Below are 25617 nucleotides of genomic sequence, written 5' to 3'. Positions count from 1 at the left end.
AACTCCAAAACTATAAAATATACTTAATAATTAGTAATTACTAATTATTATAGTAAGTATTATAACTGATTACTATTATTAGTTGGTAGAAAATACCTAGACAGGCATAAAGAGAAAGAAAGACAAAAGGAAATACAGCAAATTGAGTATGATTAACACAAAATAAAAGTACTAGTAATGGGTAATGCGGTAGCCATTAAAGAAAGAGAATCAGTATTTGAAATCTACCCATAAACACCAGACTCACCAGTCTTTATTGATTAATCTCTGTGAAAATGAAACACAGATCTTACACAAATTATCAGAAAACAAATAAATAGAGGAACACTTTCAAACTTATCATATATGGCCAGAATTCACTAAATAGCAAACTCGAAAAGGACATTACAAGAAAGGAAAATTCTAAGCCACTCTATCTTACAAATGGAAAAGAAATAAATCTCAAGCAAAATACAAAAAAAAAAATTAACAGAGAAAGATTTTTAAAGTATTCTACATAATTACAAAATGGAGTTCATTTCACCAGTGAAACATTTCCTTAACAATACAAAAATCAACCAAATTCTAGACATTAAAATAATGTTTAAAGCTATATAATCGAGAGGCAGAGCAAGATGGTGAAAGAGAAAGCTCCACCAACTCCCATCCCACCCCACCCAAGGACACCAAGTTAACAACTATCTACACAGACACACACACAAAACACTTTTATAAGAACCAAAAATCAGGTGAGCCCTCATTGTACCTTGTGGAAATTCCATATAATTGTAAGAGGTACTGAAGTAGTAAAATAAATAAATAAATGAATAACAGTCTGGATTCACAGATGCTATCCTTCTCTACCCTCCTGGCAGCAGGGGCATGGTGTGGAGAATTCCTCTGGGCAGTGAAGCAGAAAGAACACAGAGATTGTGAAGCACTAAATTAAGTGCTGTCATGTTAGAGCAAAAAGGAAACTGGACCAAACTCAGCTGATGCCTGCCCACAGAGGAACACTTAAAATTAGCCCTAGCCAGATGGGAATCACTGCCAATCTTAGCAGTTGAAACTTGAGTTCCTACAAACCTCACTACTGGGGGCTACAGTGCTCTGGGTCTCTAAGTTAACTTTAAAGGCAGTCTTGGCCATAAGGACTGCAACTCTTGATGTGTCTTAGTGCTGAACCAGGCTGAGAGACGGTGGACTTGGGGGTGGAGAGAAGGTACACAACCTACTGAGACACCAGCTGGGGCAGCTAAGGCAGTGCTGGAATCACTCCTTCTCTAACTTCAGTCTACACAGATCACACTCAAAATACCCCTTCCTTCCATTTGAGGAGAGAGAGGGAAGAGTGGGGAGAACTTTGTTTTGCATCTTGTATACCAGCTAATCCACAGCAAGACAAGGCACTGGTCAGAGTAATGAGGCCCCCTCCTAGGCCCTAGCTCCTGGATGACATTTCTAGACATACCCTGGGTGAGAAGGGAACATGCTGTCTTGAAGGGAAGGAACTAGTCCTGGAGGCATTCATCACCTGTTAATTGAAGAGGTCTTGGGCCCCGAATAACCAGCAATGATACCTAGGTAATACATTGAGGGCCTTGGATGAGACTCTGAGGCTTACTGGTTTCAGGTGAGACTCTGTGCATTAACAGCTGTGGTGACTATGGGGCAAAACTCTTTTTGCTTGAGAAAAGCAGAGAGATAAGTAAAGGAGACTTTGTCTTGCACCTTAGGTACCAGTACAGCCATAGAGGGGAAGAGCAACAAGTAGGCTCTTAAAATCCCCAATTCCAGGACTTGACTCTTGGACAGAATTTATGGACATGCTGTGGGTCAGAGGGGAGCCCACTGCCCTAAAGGGTGACTCCCAGGCCAGACAGCATCATCACAAGCTGACATAAACACCTCTGGGCCTTAAGGCAACATCAGCAGTAGTCTGGCTGTGCTCCTCACAGCCTGTGGTGGCAGAGGATGCAGGATGAGGCTCCTCTGCTTTTGAAAAGTGGAGGGAAGAGTGGGAAGGACTGTGTCTTGTGGTTTCACCGTCAGTTCAGCCACATACAATAGAACACGGAGTAGACTTCTAAGATTTTTGACTCTAGTCCCTGACTTCTGGATGACTCAACTCATGCAGGGACTAGGGTAACTCACCACCCTGAAGGGAGGAACAAGGCCTGGCTGGCTTTGCCATCTGATGATCGTAGAGCCCCAGGGCCTTGAGCAAACATAGACAGTAGTAGCAAGGTAGTGTTTATAGTAAGCCTTGGGCAAGACCCAGTGCTATGTTAGCCTCAGGTCTGACCCAGCACAGTCATAGTGGTTGTGATCACAGGGGTGCTTGTGTCACTCCAACCTCAGCTTTAGGTAGCTCAGAAAACACACACACACACACACACACACACACACACACACAAAACACACACACAGAGAGAGAGAGAGAGAGAGAGGAGAGACTGTTTGGGAGAAAGTAAGGGAAGAGAAGAAAAGTTTCTTCCTGGTAATCCAGACAAGTCTCCTAGATCTTGTCCAAAACAATCAAGGCAGTATCTCTACAAGTCTGCAAGAACCATAGCATTACTGAGATTGGGGTGAACCCTAAAACAGATACAGCTTAGATCACAACACCCAAGTCCTTTTGAATATCTGGAAAGATTTCCCAAGAAGGATGGGTACAAACAAGCCCAGACTGTGAAGACTACAATAAATACCTAACTCTTCAATGCCCAGAGACAGATGAACAACCGATAGCTACAAGACCATCCAGAGAAACATGACCTTACCAAACAAACCAAATAAGGCACCTGTGACCAATCACGGAGAGACAAAGATATGTGACCTTTCAGACAGAGAATTCAAACTAGCTGTGTTGAAGAAATTCAGTATAACAAAGAGAAGGAATTCTGAATTATATCAGATGAATTTAATGAAGAAATTACATAATTTAAAAAATAAAGAATAATTGAAATTTAAAATTTATTTTAAAAGAATTGAAAGAAATTCTGGAACTGAAAATTGCAATTGGCATACTGAAGAATGGATCAGAGTCTTTTAACAGCAGAACTAATCATGCAGAAGTAAGAATGAGTAAGCTTATTCTTTGGTTAGGTTATTTGAAAATATACAGTCAGAGGAGACAAAAGAAAAAAATAATTTTAAAAATGCAGCAGGCCTATGAGGTCAAAAAAATAGCCCAATAGGGCAAATTGAAGAGATATTGGCCTTAATGTGGAGGTGAAGAAAGAGATAGGAGTAGAAAGCTTATTCAAATGGAAAATAACTGAGAAGCAAGGATGGTACTGGCATGAAAATAGACACGTAGAACAATGTAACTGAATAGAGAGAACCCAGAAACAAATCCGCACACCTCCAGTGAACTCATTTTTGACAAAGGTGTAAAGAATATACACTGAGGAAAAGACAGTTTCTTCAATTAATGGTTCTGGGAAAACCGGATATCCATTTAAAGAAGAATGAAACTAGCCCTTTATCTCTTGCCATATACAAAAATAAAATTCAAATAGATTAAAGACTTAAATCTAAGGTTCAAACTGTGAACGTACTATAAGAAAACACCGGGGAAAATCTCCAGGATACTGGTCTGGGCAAAAATTTCTTGAGCAATACCATACAAGCACAGGCAACCAAAGCAAAAATGAACAAATCAGATTACATCAAGTTCAAAAGTTTCTGCATAGCAAAGGAAGCAATCAACAAAATGAAAAGACAAGCCACAGAATGGGAGAAAATATTTGCAAATTACCCATCTGACAAGGGATTCATAACCAGAATATATAAAGAGCTCAAACAACTCTATAGGAAAAATCTAATAATCCAATCAAAAAGTGGGCAAAATATTTGAATAGACAACTCTCAGAAGAAGGGATACAAATAGCAAAGAGGCATATAATAAGGTGCTCAATATCATTGATCGTCAGAGAAATGTGAAACAAAACTACAATGAGATATCTTTCACCCCAGTTAAAATGGTTTATATGCAAAAGACAGGCAATAATATCATGGGATCTTAGAGGTGTCACTTTGCCAGCCTGAATCCTCTGTGACCAGTGGCACCTTCTGCCTGAGTATTGCTCATGCCCGCTGGGCTTATTTTGCCCATGCAGCCTGGCAGGATGTGGAGCCCTCAGTGGAGAGGGGACCCAGAGTGGGTAGCTCCTATCTCCAGGCAGTTCATCGCAATGTCTGCCTGAGCCTGTGTGAGTCCAGGGTTTTTATGAGCTTTAGAAGGGAGGAAGTCCATGCTGATTGAACCATGGGTGGCCATGGGTGGGCCCAGAAAAAGCACCATAAGTTCTCACTCCTGGCAGTGGACTCCAAAAGAACTGACAGCCTGGCCTCCATGCTTCAGACTGTACCTGGCTTGAAGAAGGGGCTTCACTGGGGACCTGTCCCTTTCTGCCCAGGAGCCTGTCTACTGCCTGCCACCATCAACATGTCATCCACAGCACCCAGGCTGTTTGTGCTGAGGGTTGCCTGCAGGCCCACACTGAGCTGCTCTCAGGCCCGTTTTGGCCTCCCTTACATGCTCATCCGTGCCCAAAGTCAACAGCAGGCTGAGGTGGCGAGGGGCTGGCATATCAGCACTGCCCCAAGCACATGCATACCCGGCCAGGTTGTGTCAGCACCTGGGCTCAGCCACAACTTTGCTCTGAAATTGGAGTGGGTGCCAGGATCAGGGAGAGGCCAGGAAGTGGGAGCAGGCACTTCTGAGTCTGCGGTGGGAGGAGGGTTTCCCTGGACCCCAAGACCACAGCAATGCCTGGGTCCAGAGCTGCAACTGGGCAGCTGAAGCTGTGCCCAGGAGGGTGGGGCTCCTGCCCCACCAACTCAGAAGGGAACCCAGCACCCCCTACCTGTTCCCAGTTCCTGCTGGCTCCATGGAGCCCACAGCCCCAGTCACACCTCTTTCATTGCAGCTGGTGTCTACACAGCAGCCACTCCAGATGGGCTGCTGCTGCCATCAATGGCAAATGCTGGTGAGGTTGTGGAGTAAATGGAATCCTCATACACTGTTGGTGGAAACGTAAATTCATACAAACACTGTGGAAAACAATTTGGAGTTTCCTCAAAAACTAGAAATAGAGCTATCACATGATCCAACAATCCCACTGCTGGTTATGTAGCCCAAAGAAAAGAAACCAGTGTTGAAGACATATCTGCACTCCCATGCTTATTGCAGTACTATTCACAATAGCTAAGGTTTAGAAGCTACCTAGGCATCCATCAACAGATAAATGGATAAAGCAAATGTGGTACATACACATAATGGATTACTATTCAGTCATAAAAAAGGATGAGATCCTGTCATTTGCAGCAACATGAATGGAACTGGAAATAATTATGTTAGTGAAATAAGCCAGGCACAGAAAGGCAAATATTGCATATTCTCACACATTTGTGGGCTCTAAAAATCAACAAAATTGAACACATGGACATAGAGAGTAAAAGGATGGTTACTAGAGGCTAAGAAAAGTATTGAGGGTAGGAGATGGAGGAAGGTGGGGATAGTTAATGAGGATACACACACAAAAAAAGTAAGAAAGAATGAATAAGGCCAACTATGTGATAGCACAACAGGATGACTATAGTTAATAATAACTTAATTGTGCATTTTAAAATAACTACAAAAGTGTAATTGGATTGTTTGTAACACAAAGGATAAATGCTTGAGGGGATAGATACCCCATTCTCCATGATGTAGTTACCACACATTACATACTTATATCAAAACATCTCATGTTCCCCTATAAATATATGCATCTACTATGTACCCACAACATTTAAAATTTTTTAAATTTAAAATAATATATATAATCATTGCTATAAATGCATAAAGAGAATTTGATACAATCAATACATATTTATGATCAAATGAAACAAAATAATAATCTGAGCAATCTAGGAATAGAATAATAATTCCTTAGTGTGATAAGGGTATCTTAAAATAATACCACAATATTATGATTCATTGTGAAATAATAAAGATTTGTTCTCTGAGTGCCAGAACAAGAAAAGATTGCCATAATCATTCATTATTTTAAACATTTTTTGTAAGATCTTTAGAGTGCAATCAAGCAGGAAAAAAAATAAGAAATGTGATTATCATTATTTGCAAATGACAAGATTATATATGTTGAAGATGTCTGAAATTAAAAGATACACTGTTAGAATTAACAACCCAGAAGTTTTGTTGAGTTCAATGTCATTATTAAATAAATTTAATTAAACATATATATATTAGCAATAAATATAGTAAATATTTTACATTGCTTACAGTAACATTAAAAATAATACATAATACCAATAAATTGATTTATAACATTAAGCAACATTTCAGCACAGAAAATTATAAACTTTAAGCAGAACAAGTTTGGAGGAATTAAAATTTAAGTTTATACAAATTTTTAAAGTGTAGTATCATCACAATAGTAAGTAAATAGATTTGAGGAACAAAATAGATTGTCCCATAGAAGACCACTCATATGCAGTCATCTGATTTATAAAAAGATCCCTATGCAGTACCATGAATTATTTAAATAATATCTATAAAAATAAAATGTGCTATATCAGTTGGATATCCATTTGGAAAAATGTATTAGTATTGTTCCAATTAATTCACTATATATACAAAAATTTATTCCAGATGGGTCATAAATCTAAATAGAAATATAAAATCATATAGTACTTATGATATACATTAGGAAAATATCTTTGTGATCTTGGTTAGAAAAAATATTTTAAATAAGACACAAAGAGCATAAATCAAAGAGAAAACTAAAATACATGTAATTCAGCTGAAATCAAGACCTTTTGTTTGTTAAAATACGCCATGAATGAAGTGAAGGATACTAGGTACAATTTGGGAGAAACGACCTTCTATGCCCATACCCAACAAAGACTCATGGATTTTGTACTAATCAAAGAATGGTATCTATGCTTTCTCAAACAAATTATGAGGAAAAAGCATTGGTCTCAGTTTATTGTAAGATCCTTTCCTCTTCTAGAATGTAGAACTATCATGAGATAATTAAAATTATCAATTTAAAATAGGATTACCAGAATTCTTAGATTTAATCCACAGATGGGAAATATTTTGTCACGTCACTAAAATACTTTTGTGTTATTTTCAATGTTGTTACTCCAAATTTTCAAGTTTATGTTTTAAAATATACATATATTTACATGATATATGTATCACTCACTTGGAAGTTTTTCCCTCAACTATACAATCAAAGAAAATTGTGCATAATAACCAAGCTGCATTTTCTACTCTTCTTCTTACAATGATTTACTAATCTTACATAAGCAACTGCTAAAAACCCTCTACTTCTTAAGTGAGTGAACTTGCAAAATACTGTGTTTGGATTTGAAAGCAATTTGATTATAAAATATTTTGTTCCACTTTTTTCATAAAGTTTATTTGACATTCTTGAGTTTCTAATTGTGAATAACAGCATGTTGATGGCTTAAGAAACCTCTGTTTTAAATTTTTCTTTGCTTACTATTGATAGGTGTAGATGATATATATTCACTAACAGTCATAGTTTTATGTATGACCCTAAAGGAGGCGGAGTAAAATACTGTTAAAAATGTTAGCTCTGAAGTAACTTTGATTGGACGTGTTCACTGGCTCTACCATTTGCTTAGTCATGGGTGTAGTGGGGAAATTACTTAGCAACTCTGTGTCAGTTTCCTTGTCTATAAAATGGTGTAATAACCACTCCAAACTCATGAGTTGTTGAGAGGTTAAGTGAGTTAATAAAATTTGTATGAGTTAGTCAATAAAAAAACAGTCCTTCGCAAATGATTAAAATTGTAAGTTATATTATACATGTGCTTGGCACATACTAAATATTTACATGTTAGCTTTTATTATAATTATGACTTCTAGAAAGATAAATATTTAATATTTAATTGAGAATGATCCTTATTCTCTTTATGGAATGTTTATTCCTTCTTCAAGGCCTAGTTCAAAAATAGCCCTACTTTCCAACCTCCGGGTGAATTAATTGCCGTTTTCTATATCTCTTACCAAATTTTAGGTTCTCATATTACTGTATTGTAAATATTTATGTATGTTTCCTCCTCCAGAAAGTACACATTTAAGACCATATTGCATTCAAATTTCTTAGTTCAGCACTTTGAATGTAGAAAGGCCTATAACTAATGTTTGTAGAAGTTTACTTTAGATTTCGGTCTTGTGGTGGTTGCTGTTGGTATTGCCAAACTCTAAGTCCTAGCCTAAGCAATTCTCTTTATCTCTCTTTGCTTCTTCCTGCTTCCTCTGCCCCTCACCTTTTGTCATTTGGCTCATTTCTCCAGATCTTTTGAAACTGACAGTGGTCTATCTTGTGAAAAGAAAAAAAATCTGAATTATGCTAGGAAAATCATTTGTAAATAAACTTAATAAATATAAGGGAAATATACTTTCATAACTATTCTACATAGAACTGCAATATTTTTTAGTTATAGCCATGGCTGAATCCTCAGTTTGCACACCTTAATAGGACACTGAATATATGGTCATTGGAACATTTCTTTTCTTTTTGAAGGAGCCTGTAAAAATGTCATGAGCCTTGAGCATAGACTCCAAAGGCTCAGATTTGAGCACTGGCTGCTTCATGTTCTATGTGACTGCAATAGCCAACACTAAATTTCCATTTCTGTTACATAAGCACTAGGCTAGATCAATGGTTTAAAAAAAGATCTGCTGTACAATATTGTACTCATAATCAGCAATAATGTACACTTAAAGTTTATGAAAAAGATAGAGCTTATGTAAAGTGTTCTTACGACGATAAAATTGTGTTTAATTTTTTTTTTTGAAAAAACGTAGTCACATAGATATTTAGGCATTAGAGGCTCAGAGGGACCTCACAGGTGGGAGGGGTTGAAAGAAGAAAAGCAGAAGAGGACCTCAGAAGCACTCTTAAACAAAGTAAGCTTTATATGTATATGTATATGTATATATGTATATGTATGCGTGTATATATATACATATACATATATTTAGAAGTATACGTATATATTATGTATAAACTATATATATTATTAAAAATCTAAATTGATGAAAAAGAGTACAATGACAAAACATTTGGAAAATCACTGCAATACATTTGTTTCAAGCCTCTAGCCACTGGAATATCTATATCTATATCTATATCTATATACACACACACATATATATACACATATATTAGTAGGATATATATTCTGGTAATATTTTTCTTCAGTTACTTTATAGATAAATGTTGGAAAAACACTGTAAGCATGTGATTTGTTCATTCAAACTTCAAGAGAATATTTTAAATTCAAGTTACTGTATACATAGTTTATTCCAAGTCAAATTTCTTTTTTATATATTCTTTTATAAAATAAATATAAATTAAATCATTACAATATAAATAGGACAATTACAGTTACTTTCAGTGGATAAAGATTTGACAACTTATATTTGTAACGACTGTGTCTTCTATGTTTATATTTTAAACAATGTATCTACTATTCACAATAAATGAACAAATTAGCAAAGTGGAATTGATAATTTTCATAATATCCTTTAAAAATGTATGCTTATAGACGACATGATTGTGTACACTTGGATTTTCTGGAATTTTCTTCATTTGACTTAATCCTTTGCTTTTAAAACACAAACTCCCTATCAATGTTAATGCACATTCAAAACATAATGGCATTTGACAGTAAATACACAGCCTCATCAAATCACTTATCTCCCCATGCTTCCGCAGTAATATTGAGGGAATCTGAATAAATCACATCTCAAAGGGTACAGCTGCTGTCAAACAGCATAACTAATGAATTGCCTTGACTGGAAGAGAGCAAATAATATCTTGCGTTTATAATCTAAGACAGCTGATGGCTGAGTCCTTGAACTGAATCAGTCACCATAACTAATTATAACCTGAAAAATTATAGTGACTTTTATGCTAATAATTAGTAAACACCTAGTAGCAATTTCTTAGAGAAGATAGATTGTCATACGATTTGCAGAATGGTGAAGTAATACAATTTGAACTAATGTACAGGCCCGTGCTTTTCTTTTATTTTTGCCTTTTATTTTCCATTATCAAAATTATAGTTGTCTGGTCATTAGCTTAAAGCAATAATAATAATATGAGACTATAGAACAAACTAACGATATCAAGATAAAGAAATAGGTATTAAAAGCCTACAATAAAGAACAACTAGCTATGAAGTTAGCTTTTATTTCAGTTGTGTATATATATATACCATATACAAATTGTGTAATATTTTGATATCTTCAGTGTTGTAGGGGAATATTTATTATTAATAACTGCTAAAGCAAATTCTTAGTTGACCCATGAGAACTCTTTTCAAAATATGAGAATATCATTCTTAATTAGTACATTTGATTGACATCTAAATTTTATAACCATACAATTCGTTACACAGCAAAATTACCAAATTCACAGGTAAAGATCATCTTGAGGAATATAAACTAGCTGTGAGAAAAGAGTTTTCCTATATAATCACATGAATTAGAAGCTCATTGTGTTTCTAAGAAAGGAAATAGTATAGGAGAGAAATAGTGAGAGTGTTCAACCTTACTAGTAATCAAAGAAATATGAAATAAAATTTTACTTATGTAGTCTGCAACAAAATTTGTTTCTTTTATAGTGCTGGTCAAAGTATAAGTTGCTAAAGGATTTTCAGAAAAGTATTTCAGTCATTCAAGTTCTTCCACATATAAAATAATAAAATTTCAGCCAGTAATTTTATTTCTGTGAATTTTTATCAAAAAATAAAATAAATATAAAAACCAAAATTATATATATGAAAACTGTGTAATAACAAATAAAATTCAGGATAAAAGTGTTTTATGCATTACAAATAAAAAAGTGTCAATATTATGAAGATAAAGATTGCTCAGTGTGAAGCAGAATGAATTACATACTTTCCTCTTATTCTTGTTAATGGATATTTTATGGTGAATGCATACTTCAGCTTCATAATTTAAATATGCATGTATAATATATCAAACTTAGTATATTTATATATTGCCCAAGCTAAAAATATGGACTCCAAGATGGCAAATTATTCCAAGTGCAAAATAAAAGCTGTGTCTTCTATTTTACGAATCAATTTCTAAATTACGAATCTATCATATTATGAAGAGAATGTGTCTTGAGGTATAAAATTAATATTGTCTTACCTTATATAGCCAGCATTTTCTAAAAGATGTAAATATATAACCCATTTTACAATTTAAACATTTTTATAAAAATATTTGTCATTGAGTCTAACATTAAGCACATTAGTTGAGGTTTTATGCTTTTTACATTTTTTTAATATGCTATGTTGAGCTTAATATTTTCTGCTATATGAAAATTACAAAGTAAGCTAAGGTTCCATTTTGGTGTATAATATATACATATATAAGAAAAACAAATTTCTTTCACTTCCAGAGTTTGAGTCAATACTTTTTCCTAAGAATGCCTCTGATTTCCCCTATATTTTCTCCTACTAATACTATATTGATTTCTAAGAATCATGAAATGGATTTATTTGGAAAGGAAAATATATGTAGATAATTCTTATCTTCGTAGCTACCAATTTTACCTCTTGTGTTCAGAGACCATGCATTTATTCAGTATCCCCCAATAGTGCTACAGTAAATATTTTTAAATGATGCCCAATTCCAAGCAGTAAGGGGGAATTATTATAGATAAAATTCCTCCTCCCACATGCAAACCGTTCTAAGTATATAGAAACAATAAATGTGCTATGTTTAAATTTAAATTTATAGCTGAAAAAGTAAACAAACAAATAAATAAAATCCATAGTACAGAGACTGGGCCCAAGTTGGAGAAAGGAGAAAGATGCTGAATCTATACAATCTCAAGGAACCAGAGTAGAAGTTTTAGTAATTGGGGGTTTAGATACTCGTCAACAGATTAACAAAGGCTGGATATCAATCAAGGTAGTTCTCAAAAACATAAAGTTAAACAAGGTTTAGGATGGTATATAAGTAATATATAAAAACATTTAAAATTTTGAAATAATAAAAGGAAACAATACCTATCTATTGGGACTAGTTATGGAATAAGGGGTTCTTCAAATGTGTTGGTAATTAGAAAAAACAAGATGAGATATTCAACCTTATTTGTGTTTGTGTGCATGCTTGATATTTTTTCTGTGCTTTTTTTGCATTTTAAAATAAAAAGAAAGCTCCACTCATTGAACTCTACAAAATTAAAATGTTGATGCATCATTCTTTTTCTCTTTTATCAGTTTCTCTCCATAATCAACAATGTGTAACTCACTCAGCATTGTGACTGCTCAATTAATTTCTTTGGATGAACAAATATACATTAGCTAATTACTTAGAGAACTATTCTGGTGTTACATAAACAAAGAATCATGGGCCAAAATAATTATTTGCATACTTTACTAAGCATGCATACTTAGGGTATTTAATCAAGATAGATAGGTAATTCACAGCAGTAATTTTTTTGGAAACTAAAACTGCCCACTTAATTTACTTTGTAGAGAGAAAACAGCAAGATTATAGTCATTGAATCTTGGAAATATGGTGAAGCCCTATAAAAGACCAGCCAAATCTCCTGCAGTAAGATGTCCAGACTAATAGAACTCCAGTAGCTGAGTTATTTGAGGAAGAAAAGGTAAAAAATAGTGATGTTCAGTGCCAACCATTTCACCCATAGCCACCTGATATGTTAAAAAAAATCTTTGAATTCTTGAGAACCTAGGTTTGAATCAAATCACTACCACTTACTTCCAACTAGGCATCTCAAAGGTGCCTATCAGGGTTGTGAAAAGAGAAGGTAAAATTTATGAAGTGTTTATCATATGTTTTGCATATCAACAAAACACAATTAATTCTAATTCTTGTTTTTGATACTGAATACTTTCCCATAGAACTTCGCATATACTAAGGAGTTGAGAAATTGTGACTAATAAAAAATAGTATGATAGTTGTCTAACAAAGACATTTATAAGTGCTTATTATGAATTAAATTATTTAATCTCACAAAACTGTAAAGTAGATATCTAGCACTTAATAACTGCTCCAACATGAAAAAGATTCTTAAATATCCCTAAAGAGATTAAACAGCTATAGAGAGAGGGATATTTAACTATCCTTATGGAGATAGGGATATTTAAGAAACCTGTCTATGTTTGGGTAGCTAAGTGCTAGATATACCATAGGTATAGGCATAGGTATAGAGATAGATATAGTTAAGAATAGGGGTAGAGATAGAGAGGTAAATATAATATGTGAACCCAAACCACTTGAGCTTTGGAAACTGCACAATTTACCACGGCATTGCTAATAAGTTCCTTTGCTTCTCAATGTTAAATTAAGTACAATTATAAATAAGTGAGTATCTTAGTATAAAATAAATATCTCCTAGGATTTTATATATAATTTAACTTTTTAGGCATATTTAAAATTTTGAAACTAATTGTTAAGCCCTGGTGCTTTAAGTTTAGCAACATATTAAGCTAAATTAAAAATGAATCATCTTAGTTTATAGCATATTCTCATATGGTCTCACATTCAATCTAATAAGAATTCTAAGTAATTTGAAATCTCTTCATTATGATTCTAAAAATGTGACTGATATTTGCTGCAATAATTGTTATATGCATTTCAATAAAAGCAAATTAGCCATAGATTATAGTTAATTTATTGACTTTTTCAAATGAAATATAAATGGATTAAAAGGTTTAAAGGTATGTTAATAAAATCTAACCTACAGCAGATACAATTTTCCTGTATGCAATTATTTCTCTAAGACTGAATATGTGAAACAAGATTAAAAACAAATAACAAAAATGTTACATTATTCATTATAACAACTAAAGCATATTATATGTTTTTCTGATGAATGGTAATTACATTCTTTTTTTAGTAAACAATACCTACTGAGGACAATATATTGGAAATGTAGTTAAATAGTTGCATATGAAGTTTAGAAAGGACCACTGTGCATCTAGTGTAAATATTACTATAGGTTATTGAACTTTTTTTTACAACCTCTCTATCACTTCAAAAGTTTTTTGGGAACAGTTGACATCCAGTTGGAAATGATTACATTAGGAAATAAAATTCCCACAATATACATATTTTGCTTCAGCTCAAAATGAAAAGCTAGAAAGAACATTGTTCTTGCTCATACCACCAGAAGAAAACATTGGAAAAACTGCCAGTTAATGGTGTTTCTCCAGCCCATCAGAGATCTGTAGTTGTAATTCAAAGAGCTAATTGAAAACTTGGAAATAGGTAAGTGCTTACAGGGAGAAACACTACTCAAACATGTGCTTACCTGAAACATATGCCATTTAATGCCATATAAGCCAATAGGAAGATCCAGCTAGACTTTGTTACCAAATGGCCAAATGTTAGATGTAGGTTATGTGAAAGTGTAAAGATGCCCTGAGGGCCACTAACATAGGTGGTTTGCAGTATCTTACAGACTTTCCTCAAGATATCTCACCATTCACTCTCAGAAAGAATTAAGTAAAAGCTTCCACCATCGTGTTGGCTGGATGATGGGAGCAGTAGCTCCTGCCAAAACTACCCAGACCCATCTCACCTGTCTCTACTAATAATTAAAAGTCTTACCCTACAGAGGGAAGGGTAACAAAATTTGTAGCCTGATAGCAAAGGTAGTAAAGGAGTACAAATGAGGGAGGTGTGGATAGAAAAACAAAACAAAAACAAACAAACAAAAATCTCTACTTTTAGGTGAAGAATAATAATAGATGTCAGGCTCAGCATTACCTCTGATCAAGGGAAAGAAACAACTTTGTGAGCTGTACCACTGATACCCACTTTTATAATCCTAACTAAGATTGAAGGTTAATCAAAACATCAGATAACATGCCTGCCACCATGTCACACACACACATACACGTGCACACACACACCATCACTCAAGCAAGCATTGAATAAAAGTAACAGTGGAATACAACTGGGGAAGGAGCAAGAAACGGATTGTCTCTTGGAAACAACATAAAAGGAACACCTAAAGTAAAAAATGAGGATAACTAAATAAACCAGAGAGGAGAAATCGCAAATTTGCCCAAACTTTAAACACCAGAAATGACTAGCAGAATTTGAATCTTCTAGTACACTGAGAGTAATCATTACAATAAAAACTTTATACCAAGTCCAACCTCTGACTAAGGAGTTGTGCAATACCCTTACACTAAGACCTAACAGAAGAAAAGGTGTACTCACTTTCAAACTTACTTACCTCTGTATATTTTACAACATGCCTTGCTTAAAACAAACATTTATGAGGTATGTAAAAAGGTAAGAATAAACATTGGCTGAAAAGACAAAATTATCATAATGACCAGAGTCAGATATGAAAGACATATTGGCATGATGAGACAGAGAATTTAAAACAACAATGATAAATACGTTAAACGCTCTAATCGAATAGTGTGGCATCATACACAATCAGATAGATACTTCCAGCAGAGAAATGGAAATTATTAAAAATTAAGAAAGTAGAAATGTTAGAAACCAAAACACCATAATAGAAATAAAGCCTTCAATAGGCTCACCAGTAGACTTGATGGAGCAGAGAGAAAAAAATTATTAAACTTGAAGGCAGGTCAATAGAGATTACCCAGATAGAAATGCAAAGAGAAAAAAAAGAAAAAAACAGAAGATAATATACAAAAATGTATGACAGTATCAAATCGTCTGAGATAAATGCAATCAGTATAGCCACAGTAGAAGAAAGAAGAATGGAAACAAGAAATATTTGAAGAATTAGTGGCAGGAAATTTTTCAAAATTGTGATAGACATTAAACTGCAAACCCACAAAACTCAAAGAACAAAAAAGCAGAATAAATATCAAAAAGGAAATCATAACTATCATATTCAAATTTCTGAAAATCAAAGTAAAAGAGGAAATCTTAAAGATAATAAGAGAAAAAGACTCCTATCTACAAAGGAATGGAGTCAAGCAGAAATTTGAAGAATATTCTACAAAAATATATTTAAAAGTCAAACAGAAATAAAACTTAGATAAACAAAAACTGAGGGAAGGAGCTATCAGCTGACCTACTCTACAAGAAATGTTAAAGGAAGCTCTTCAAGTAGAATAAATATGATATAGGTCACAGAAACTGAGATCAAAACTGAGAATTAAAAGGTATGCAAAATGGAATAAATAAAGGTGAAATACAACCATTTTTATGATTTTAATTACTCTAAAAGATAATTGAATGTTTACAGCAGAATGGTAACAGTTATTGTCTTTATAATATATGTAAAATAAAATACATGACAATGATGGTAAGGGCCTAGAGAGGAATAATTGGAAATTATAATAGTTATAACATGTTTACGTACGTGAAGTGGTATAATATTCTCTGAAGGTAGCCTAGCCAACATAGCAAAACCCCGTCTCTACAAAAAGTACAAAAATTAGCCAGGCGAGGTGGTACATGCCTGTAGTCCCAGCTACTCAGGAGGTTGAGGTGGGAGGATCATTTGAGCCAGGGAATTGGAGGCTGCAGTGAACCATGATAGCACCACTGCACTATAGCCTGAGAAAGAGCAAGACCCTGCCTCAAAAAAAAAAAAAAAATTCTCTGACGGTAAACTCATATTATTTTAACATATATAAGAAAACTAAGGACAACATTTTTTAAAGGTGCTATGGCTAATTTGGATATAATGCAAATCATAAAACATGCCTGTTAAACTCAAGGGAAGCAGGAAAAAAAGGAAAGAACAAATAAAGCAAAAACAGATAAGGAAGTGATATATTTTAATCCAGCCACATGAGCTATCATTTTAAATATGAATGCTCTACACCTGTTTAAACATATAAATTGTCAGATTTATAGTCAGGATAAGAAAACAAGACCTAGCTTTATGCTGCCTATACAACATCCTTCAGAGAGGCTTTCACTGAATAGTATTCAACTTCTTTTTTATATATTTTCATAATAGCACCGTACTTCCATTTTTGTCATACTCAGCATGATGCAAATTACTGAGAGACTATGTTCTACTCTATGTTAGAAATATTGTTCTCCTTTTTCCTAAAATAATTCCAGTGTCTATCACATTGCTGGACGAGATGGTCTATTATAAACTCTCAGTGTTTTTAAACAAATCATAATTCTACCCAACATTCATATAAACATCGATAATATGGTGAGATTTTCCAAGAATAGCTTAGGAAAAATGTGAACTAAAGTCGCATTTAGATACTCTGATTTATTTTGCAAAAATAATTATTTAAATTTAACAATGGACACAAAAATTCTTCACTTAATGAATAATTAAATAAGTAGAAAAAATTATAATCATATCAATAAACATCTGAGAAAATGTAATGTTTTTCATTTTGTACAACAAAATAATACTAGTGTCACTCTGGAAATTAATGTGAAGAATGCCCATAATTATATTCAAAATTGTATTTATAATATTTTATAATACTTGAGAAAGAAATTGTTATTTCAAATAATGAGTAGAAATAACATTTTAATATTATAATATTATTTCTAATTATTATTTGAGATAATATTTTAATTGATTTTCAGTTCCTTTGGTTGATGAACTCTAAATTACGTGCAAAAAGGGAATCAGATCAGGCACAATCACTCAAGAGAAGGTTGTTTATTCAGATACAAAATTTAATAGAAGTTCATTCTTCCTTCAAAATAAGTTTACTATTCTGGTCTGTATACATATTTTTAATTTTACATATTTAATTGTTACATCATTCTCAGTAACATAATCCTGACATATTTTAATTTCTTAAGTCTTTATGTCATGTTAATTAATATGAATTGTTGCTCTCAGGTCTGGCATGAGTCAATTATAAAGACAATGCTTTTATTATTTCAAAGTCTTTATTATTGAAGAAAATTTATATTCAATATTAAGCTCTATGTCATGAGATCATGTGTTTCAAAATCATTAATAAAAGGATATTAAGTGATATAGGATAATGGGTTAACGAAACTATAATTTAAAAGAACATTAAAAGAAAGCAAAATACAATTATTTCCAATATAGCCTATAAAGTGAAAGTGAACATACGAAGGAGAAAACAATTGATGCTATAAAGAACTGATAGAAAACATGTGCATATATTTTATCTATAAACATAAGTCAGTTAAGTGCATTGGTTTCTCCATGGGAAAAAAGGCCTGCAACAGTGACAGAACAGCAACTGTACATAATGTGCGAATGACATGAAATAAACAAAACTCCAAAGCCAGGATATATACTCATTAGTGATGTATAGGACAAAAGTATAATAAGGATAATTATATATCTGTATTCTAAATTTATTTTATTACATATTTAGCAATAGCAGATTTAATAATTATGATTTACTGGAAGATGAAACCAGAACAACTTATTCTTCATTCTTAGATCTGCTTTCAATGGATTTCCAGTCATGTGTAATAAAATACATACAGATTAATATTTGCATGTATCATAACATCTATCATTTCATTTCAGAGCAACGCGCTGCCATTAAAATGCCAATGTTTATCCCATTATATTAATGTTCAAGCCAGGGAATGCCTCCAAATTCTGCACATACCATCATCCCATTTTCTTAATCAACATTGATTACAAAATTCTTGCTAATTGACTCAATTGTGTTATGCCTGTCTTCACTCATCCAAATCAAGCAGGGCTCATTAAAATTCAAGTTTCCTGTAATAACATCAGATTATACATTAATGTGATCCATTTGTTTAGAATAAACTGGATCAAATTGCAATATTTTGTACATGAAAATAGACAAGTTTGGTCAATAGGCAAAAAAATTTTTAGTGTAATTTAGAGATATTAGAAATGGCATTTTCATTTTCTGCATAGTTCTAGTTATTCTTGGAATAATGTGAAAGGGAAAAATGCATGTGATCAACAGTGAAATAAATTGAAATTATATATTTATGTATTTTAGTAAATAAAAGGAAAAAATATTTTTTAATAAAATAGGACCTTTGATGTGATTGATTTTTATATTGAAATTACATCAATAACATATGGCTGATTGAAAATACTACTATATTTTTGCTAACTCAAAGTACAGAGAGAGCAATGTGAAAAATCTAAATTCCCAAAAGAAATTGCAACAAAAACAAAAATTGAACAAGTGGGACCTAATTAAACTAAAGAGCTTCTGCACAGCAAAAGAAACTATCAAAAGAATAAACAGACAAGCTACGGATGAGAGAAGATGTTCACAAACTATGCATCTGACAAAGTTCTAATATCCAGAATCTATAAGGAACTTAAGAAGCAAAACACAAATAATCCCATTAAAAAGTGGGCAAAAGACGTGGACAGACAGTTCTCAAAAGAAGCCATACAAGTAGCCAAAAAAATATGAAAAAATGCTCAACATCACTAATCATCAGACAAATGCAGAACAAAACCACAGGATACTTGGAGTGCAATGGCTCATGCCTGCAATCCCAGCAATTTGGGAGGCTGAGGCTGGTAGATCACTTGAGGCAAGGAGCTCGATATCAGCCTAGCCTACATGGCAAAACCTGGTATCTACTAAAAATATAAAAAGTTAGCCGGGCTTGGTGGCGCACACCTGTAATCTCAGCTACTTGGGATGCTGAGGCATGAGAATCCTTTGAACCCAGGAAGCAGAGGTTGCAGTGAGCTGAGATGGTGCCACTGCACACCAGCCAGGGCGATGGAGCGAGATATTACTAAAAAGTCAAAAAATAACAGATGTCTGCTAGGTTGCAGAGAAAAGGGAACACTTATGCACTATTGGTGGGAATGGAAATTAGTTCAGCCACTGTGGAAAACAGTTTGGAGATTTCTCAAGGAGCTTAACACAGAACTGCTATTTGACCCAGCAATCCCATTACTGGGTATATACCTGAAGGAAAATAAATCGTTCTACCAAAAAGATCCATGCACTCCTATGTTCATTGCAGCACTAGTCACAATAGCAAAGACATGCAATCAACCTATGATCCCATCCACGGTGGACTGGATAAAGCAAATGTGCTACCTATACATCATGGAATATTAAGTAGGCATAAACAAGAACAAAATCATGTCCTTTGCAACAGCATGGATGGGGCTGGAGGCCATTATCCTAAGCCGATTAACATGGAACAGAAAACCAAGTACCACATGTTCTCATTTATAAGTGGGAGCTAAACATTACATACACATGGATATAAAGATGGGAACAATTGACACTGGGGACTACTACAGCAGGGAGGTGGGGAGTGGTGTGAGGGTTGACAAGCTACCTATTGGGTATTATGCTGACTTACCTGGATGATGGGATTATTAATACCCTAAACCTCAGTCTCACACCATATACCCATTTAATAAACCTGTACATGTACCCCCCACTCTAAAATAAAAGTTTAAATTAAAATAAATTGTTTTATTTTTTGGCTTATTTTTTAAATAAGATGAACTTTTGGCATATAATTATATGAATTTTAACACATGTCAATATCATATTGATAAAAAAACATTGCCTTCACCCAAAAAACTCCCTTATGCTATCCTTTTGTAGTCATACCCTCCTGTGATATCTGGTAACAACCAATCAGTTCTCCTTATTATAATTTTTTTCCCAAGAACATCACCGGTATCGAATCACATAGCATGTAATCTGAGAATGTCTTCTTTCATTCAGCAGAATATCTCTGAGATCTAGCCAAGTTGTTGCATGTATTGATGACTAGTATTTCATCATATGAATGTCCTCCCATTCCACCTATTCACCTACTGATGATCTTTTTGTTTAGAAATTATAAAATAAATTCATAGCTTTGCACAGCTTATTTAAAATTTTTATCACTTCCATTGGAATGTAGAAGTATTTCCACCATACACAGTCCACTTTACTTTCCTCCTTTTATACCCTGGTTGTCTTATATTTTGCATCTGTATATATTGAAACCCCCATTAGGCAGTGCTATATTTTTTTGTTTTCAACTTGCAAGCATATTTTAAAGAACTCAAAAGGAGAGGAAATATCTATTATATTTACCATATATTTACACTTTAGGTTCTCCTAATTTATTCTGGATTTTGCAAGTTTCCTTCCAGTATAATTTTTCTTCTGTCTGAAGAATTTTCTTGGGCAATTATTTTAGAGCATTTCGCAGCCTAAAAATTATTTTAGTTTTCTTTCATATGAAAATGTCTTTATTGCATCATTGACATAAAGGATATTTTTACTCACTAACGTTCTGAATGGATAGCTCTTTTCTTTCAGTACTCAGAAAATGCTGGGCCCCTTTATTCTGGCCTCCAAGATTTTCAATGATGAGCCTGTGGTCATTCAAATCATTGCTCCCCTATAAATAATGAACTGTTTTTTTCTGGCTCCTTTCAAGATATATATTTGTTTTAAGTTTATAGCAGTTTGTTTATGATATATCTGAACATATATTTCTTTGTGTTCATTCTGCTTGGAGTTCATTCAGCCTCATAAGTCTATAGATCTATGTCTTTCACCAAATGCAGGACTTTCAATCTATTATTTCTTTTATTATTGTTTCAGCATCATACTTTTTCCCTGTTCTTATGGAATTCAAAATTTTTGACCTTTTTCCACGAGTCTCTACAGCTCTGTTTGTTATATTTATTCAATGTTTGTTCTCTCTCTGTGTCTCTTTATGGCTCATGTTCAGACTGAGTAAAAGCTATTGATCTATCTTCAAGTTTTCTCACTTTTTCCTATCTTATCTGTATTCTTCCATTGAGTTTGTTCAGTGGGGTTTTCAGTTCTAAAATTACCCTTTCTTTCTTCTTCATATTTTAGAGGCTTTTTACACTTTGTATTATAACATTTGTTTCAAAAGTGTTTTTATTTGCTTATTTGAATGTATTTGTCAGATAATTCCTACATCTCTATCATCTTTTGATCATTTTCTTCTGACAAGTTGATATTATCATAATTCATCATACATTGAGTAAGTTTGGATTATATCTTGACATTCTGAATTTTACATTATGAGACACTGGGTCTTGTCAAAGTCCTGTGAAGAATGTTAAAATTCATGTTTTATTATGAAATTTACCTGGGTAGGTTCAGGCTGCAAGATCTAACCCTCATTCTCTGGTCTATGGTTCCAATGTTGGTTCATTTTTCAAACCCATTGCTTTGCTATACAACTATGTGCCATGTATGCAGTAAAGCTTAGTGAAGAACTTGGGAAGAGGTCTGTTAGCTCAGTTCTTAATGTCTTTTGCATGCTAATTAGAATTAGATTTTTACATGCATAGGCCAAAGGTGAGCCCAGTAGTTCACAAACTACTCAATGGGATTGGTTTTTCTAGCTCTGCCACCTTTCTACAATTTTCCCCACTGTTCTCTTTTTTTTTTTTTTTTTATCCTACAGGCAGAATGCAACCACTTCTGTAATTGAGCCATGTCTGCTTCCAAAAGGAATAAGGATATATGTAAATATAGATATATAGACATTCATATAGATTAGATATAGATAGACATATAGATATAGATATGATATGAATGAGAGAGAGAGAAAGACAACAGGACTTTCGCCTCACCGTCTGAATCTATAGCTCCAGAGAAAATAGAGAAAGCGGTTTCCATTTCTTACACTCTTGGCTCCTGCAGGCTTCCATCATTGCCGCTGCTGCTGTCACCACTACTACCACTGCAGGGTTGCCTAGAAGCCGATGGTATGAGAGAAAATAAAAATAAAGGACAAAAATATTATTTTCCTTCTCTCTCTGAGCTTTAAGTTTTTCCTTACGTTTTGTTTTTTTTGTTTTGTTTTGTTTTGCTCCTCAGATCACTGTAAAGTTCCCCAATGAATTAAGTTTGGGCCAGGAGATACTAAAGGATACAAAAATGGCAGACTCACTGCTGTTCTGGAGGTACATTAATTTACAATGTTCTACCTGTTTGTTTCTGTCTACATTTCAGAGTCCTCAAATAGCTGTGCCACATATTCTGTCAAGGTTCTATACTTGCGTTCTGTGAGAGAACAAAGGGTACACTTCATCCTACCAAAAACTGGAAAACTTTCAAATACATAGTTTTCATATATCGCTTTTCAAATAACAAATGTATCATTTTTATAACCAGAAATATGGGCACAAAAAACTTTAGGGTTTTGTTTGCTTAAAACAGAGTCTCACTCTGTCGCCCAGGCTCCAGTGCAGTGGCGTGATCTCGGCTCACTGCAACCTCCACCTCCCAGGTTCAAGGAATTCTCCTGCCTCAGCCTCCCGAGGAGCGGGGATTACAGGCGCACACCACCACGCCTGGCTAATTTTTGTATTTTTAGTACAGACGGGGTTTCACCATATTGGCCAGGTTGGTCTCAAACTCCTGATCTCGTGATCCGCCCTCCTCGGCCTCCCAAAGTGCTGGGATTACAGGTGTGAGCCACCTAGCCCAGCCAAAATTTAAACCAGAAAAATGGGCACCAGATAATAACATCAGAGACCCATATATATATATATATATATATATATATATATATATATATATATATATATATGTATATATATATAGATGATAGATAGATAGATAGATAGATAGATATGACATTGGCAAGTATTATAGTCATTTACAAGATTTTATTTTTCTACATTAAATCAGGCCAGAAAATTTAGCATTTATTTTTCTCATTTGTTAATGCCATTTGTATTAAAACATATCTTACTATATTTCCATGGACATTCCCTTACTATTAATAGATATTAAGAATTACTTTTATCCAGTCCTTAAAATAAGACTCCCGTTTTTCAGGCCATATTTATTCACTCAATACTACTGGGTTAAATAGCAATTCCTTTTTTTTCTATTCCTTATTCAAAATATTTTTAAGTATGCTGTAATATAATAGATAAATTTAATAATACTATGTTAGCTTGAAATATTGAAACTTAAATTATCTACTATAAAGTATATTAACTGAAACCAAATTCTGTTCATTGTAGTCACAAAACATATGAATATAGCATCTATCTATCATCTAGCATCTAACAGTGCTACATGTTAGATCAAACTACCACATCGTCACATACGTGTACTTTGTCAGCTTATGGCTTGGCACTGGAATATCTATCAGATATTCAGTGATTAAATAACTGTTTGTTCATAAATTATAGTATTTTTTCAGATTGTGCAATTGTCGGTTCTTTTAGAGATGAGATTTAAAGTATTCATGAAAGCCATTGTGCAAAAATACAAAAATTCCAAGATAAAAGAAAAATATTGTTTTAAAATGACAACGAAAATTACATTTTTTATGTTTTCAGGTTGTGAAAAATCTTTTTAAAAATTATCATGAAGAAAATTCAGGTCTCCAAATGTACCTCTACTCGATTAACTAAGGAAAAGCTGTTTGTAATCTAGGGACCGCAATAGCTGTCACAATTAATACTGAGTATGTGCTGTTCTATCATTTTTGGCAAGGATTGGTGTTTCATCATTTAGACACATCAGGTACTTACATTGCAGTGTCATATAATTTAAATTGGCATTGTTTAAAATGATGAAAAAATAACAAAGTACCAATCAGAAACTAAATTTTAGTACAGTGGGAAGGATTCATCCATTGAATTGGATTGATAGAAGATGAGACAGCAATTTAATAGAGTTTTGTTCATCTTTTCCTTTCTTGGTTGACTAACACTGACATTTTTGAGGTCTTTTATTTCTACAGAACGTTCTCTGCAGTCTCCTCTTCAAATACGGCTCTTGGCTATGCTTGTGAATTTTGTGAATATACAATTATTTCAAATTAAATACTAACTGAATGTGGCTATATTGTGTTTATACATGTACAGAAAAACACGGTGATTGATTATATTGTTAAATTGTCAATGAGAAAATGTGCAATGTGACAATTGTCTCTATGAACTACTGTGTTTTTTAAATTAATTTTTGGCTGAGCATGGTGGCTCACGCCTGTAATCCCAGCACTTCGGGAGGCCGAGGCGGGCGGATGACGAGGTCAGGAAATCGAGACCATCCTGGCTAACACCGTGAAACCCGTCTCTACTAAAAAATACAGAAAATTAGCAGGGCGTGGTGGCGGGCGTCTATAGTCCTAGCTACACGGGAGGCTGAGGCAGGAGAATGGCATGAACCTGGGAGGCGGAGCTTGCAGTGAGCTGAGATGGCGCCACTGCACTCCAGCCTGGGCGACAGAGCGAGACTCCGTCTCAAAAAATAATAATAATAATAATTTTTAAATTTATATTGGACACACTATAATTGTACATATTATGGGATATAGTGTGACTTTTCAATGCATGTATGCATTGTATAATGATCAAATTGGTGTAATTATCATACCCATTTAAACATGTATCATTTCTTTGTGGTGACAACATTCAGAATATTTTCTTCTAGCTATCTTGAAATATACACTACATTATTATTTGCTTTAGGCACCATACTGTTTTACAAACTTGGTCAAAATGAGTCCTCTACAGTCAGATTACATATGGATATTCCAAGAAGTTCTACTTTCTGCCACTGCAAAGCTTCGGAACAGAAGTTATACTTTGTAAAGCTAATAATCTAGGTCAACATAATCTAAAAAATCGTTCTCAGAGATGTGCTTACCTCTAC

At 33.9% G+C, this 25617-nt stretch overlaps 2 long non-coding RNA genes across 4 annotated transcripts in view; one reads left to right on the top strand and one right to left on the bottom strand.

Moving 5' to 3' along the window:
• The window catches only part of LOC105373781 (uncharacterized), a 53658-nt gene extending 30638 nt beyond the window's left edge, over positions 1 to 23020 (bottom strand). For 2 of the 3 annotated variants that reach the window (XR_923661.1, XR_923663.1), the window contains exons 1-2: positions 22929 to 23020; positions 22572 to 22693 (exon numbers count right to left, since the gene is read on the bottom strand). This is a non-coding gene — a long non-coding RNA (uncharacterized LOC105373781). Of the gene's footprint in view, positions 1 to 22571; positions 22694 to 22891 lie in introns of all 3 variants that reach the window. The other variant, XR_923662.1, reaches the window with a different exon arrangement.
• Positions 22683 to 24801, top strand: LOC105373782 (uncharacterized). Its single transcript, NR_136319.1, has 3 exons — positions 22683 to 22706; positions 22819 to 22904; positions 24297 to 24801. It is a non-coding gene; the product is annotated as an uncharacterized LOC105373782 (long non-coding RNA).
• Positions 24802 to 25617: the final 816 nt, after the last annotated feature.

The sequence above is a fragment of the Homo sapiens genome, chromosome 2 (genome assembly GCF_000001405.40).
Source record: "Homo sapiens chromosome 2, GRCh38.p14 Primary Assembly".
NCBI classification, from domain to species: Eukaryota; Metazoa; Chordata; class Mammalia; order Primates; family Hominidae; genus Homo; species Homo sapiens.
Note: the sequence above shows the minus strand (reverse complement) of the source record. Positions and strands in the feature narration are given on the sequence as shown.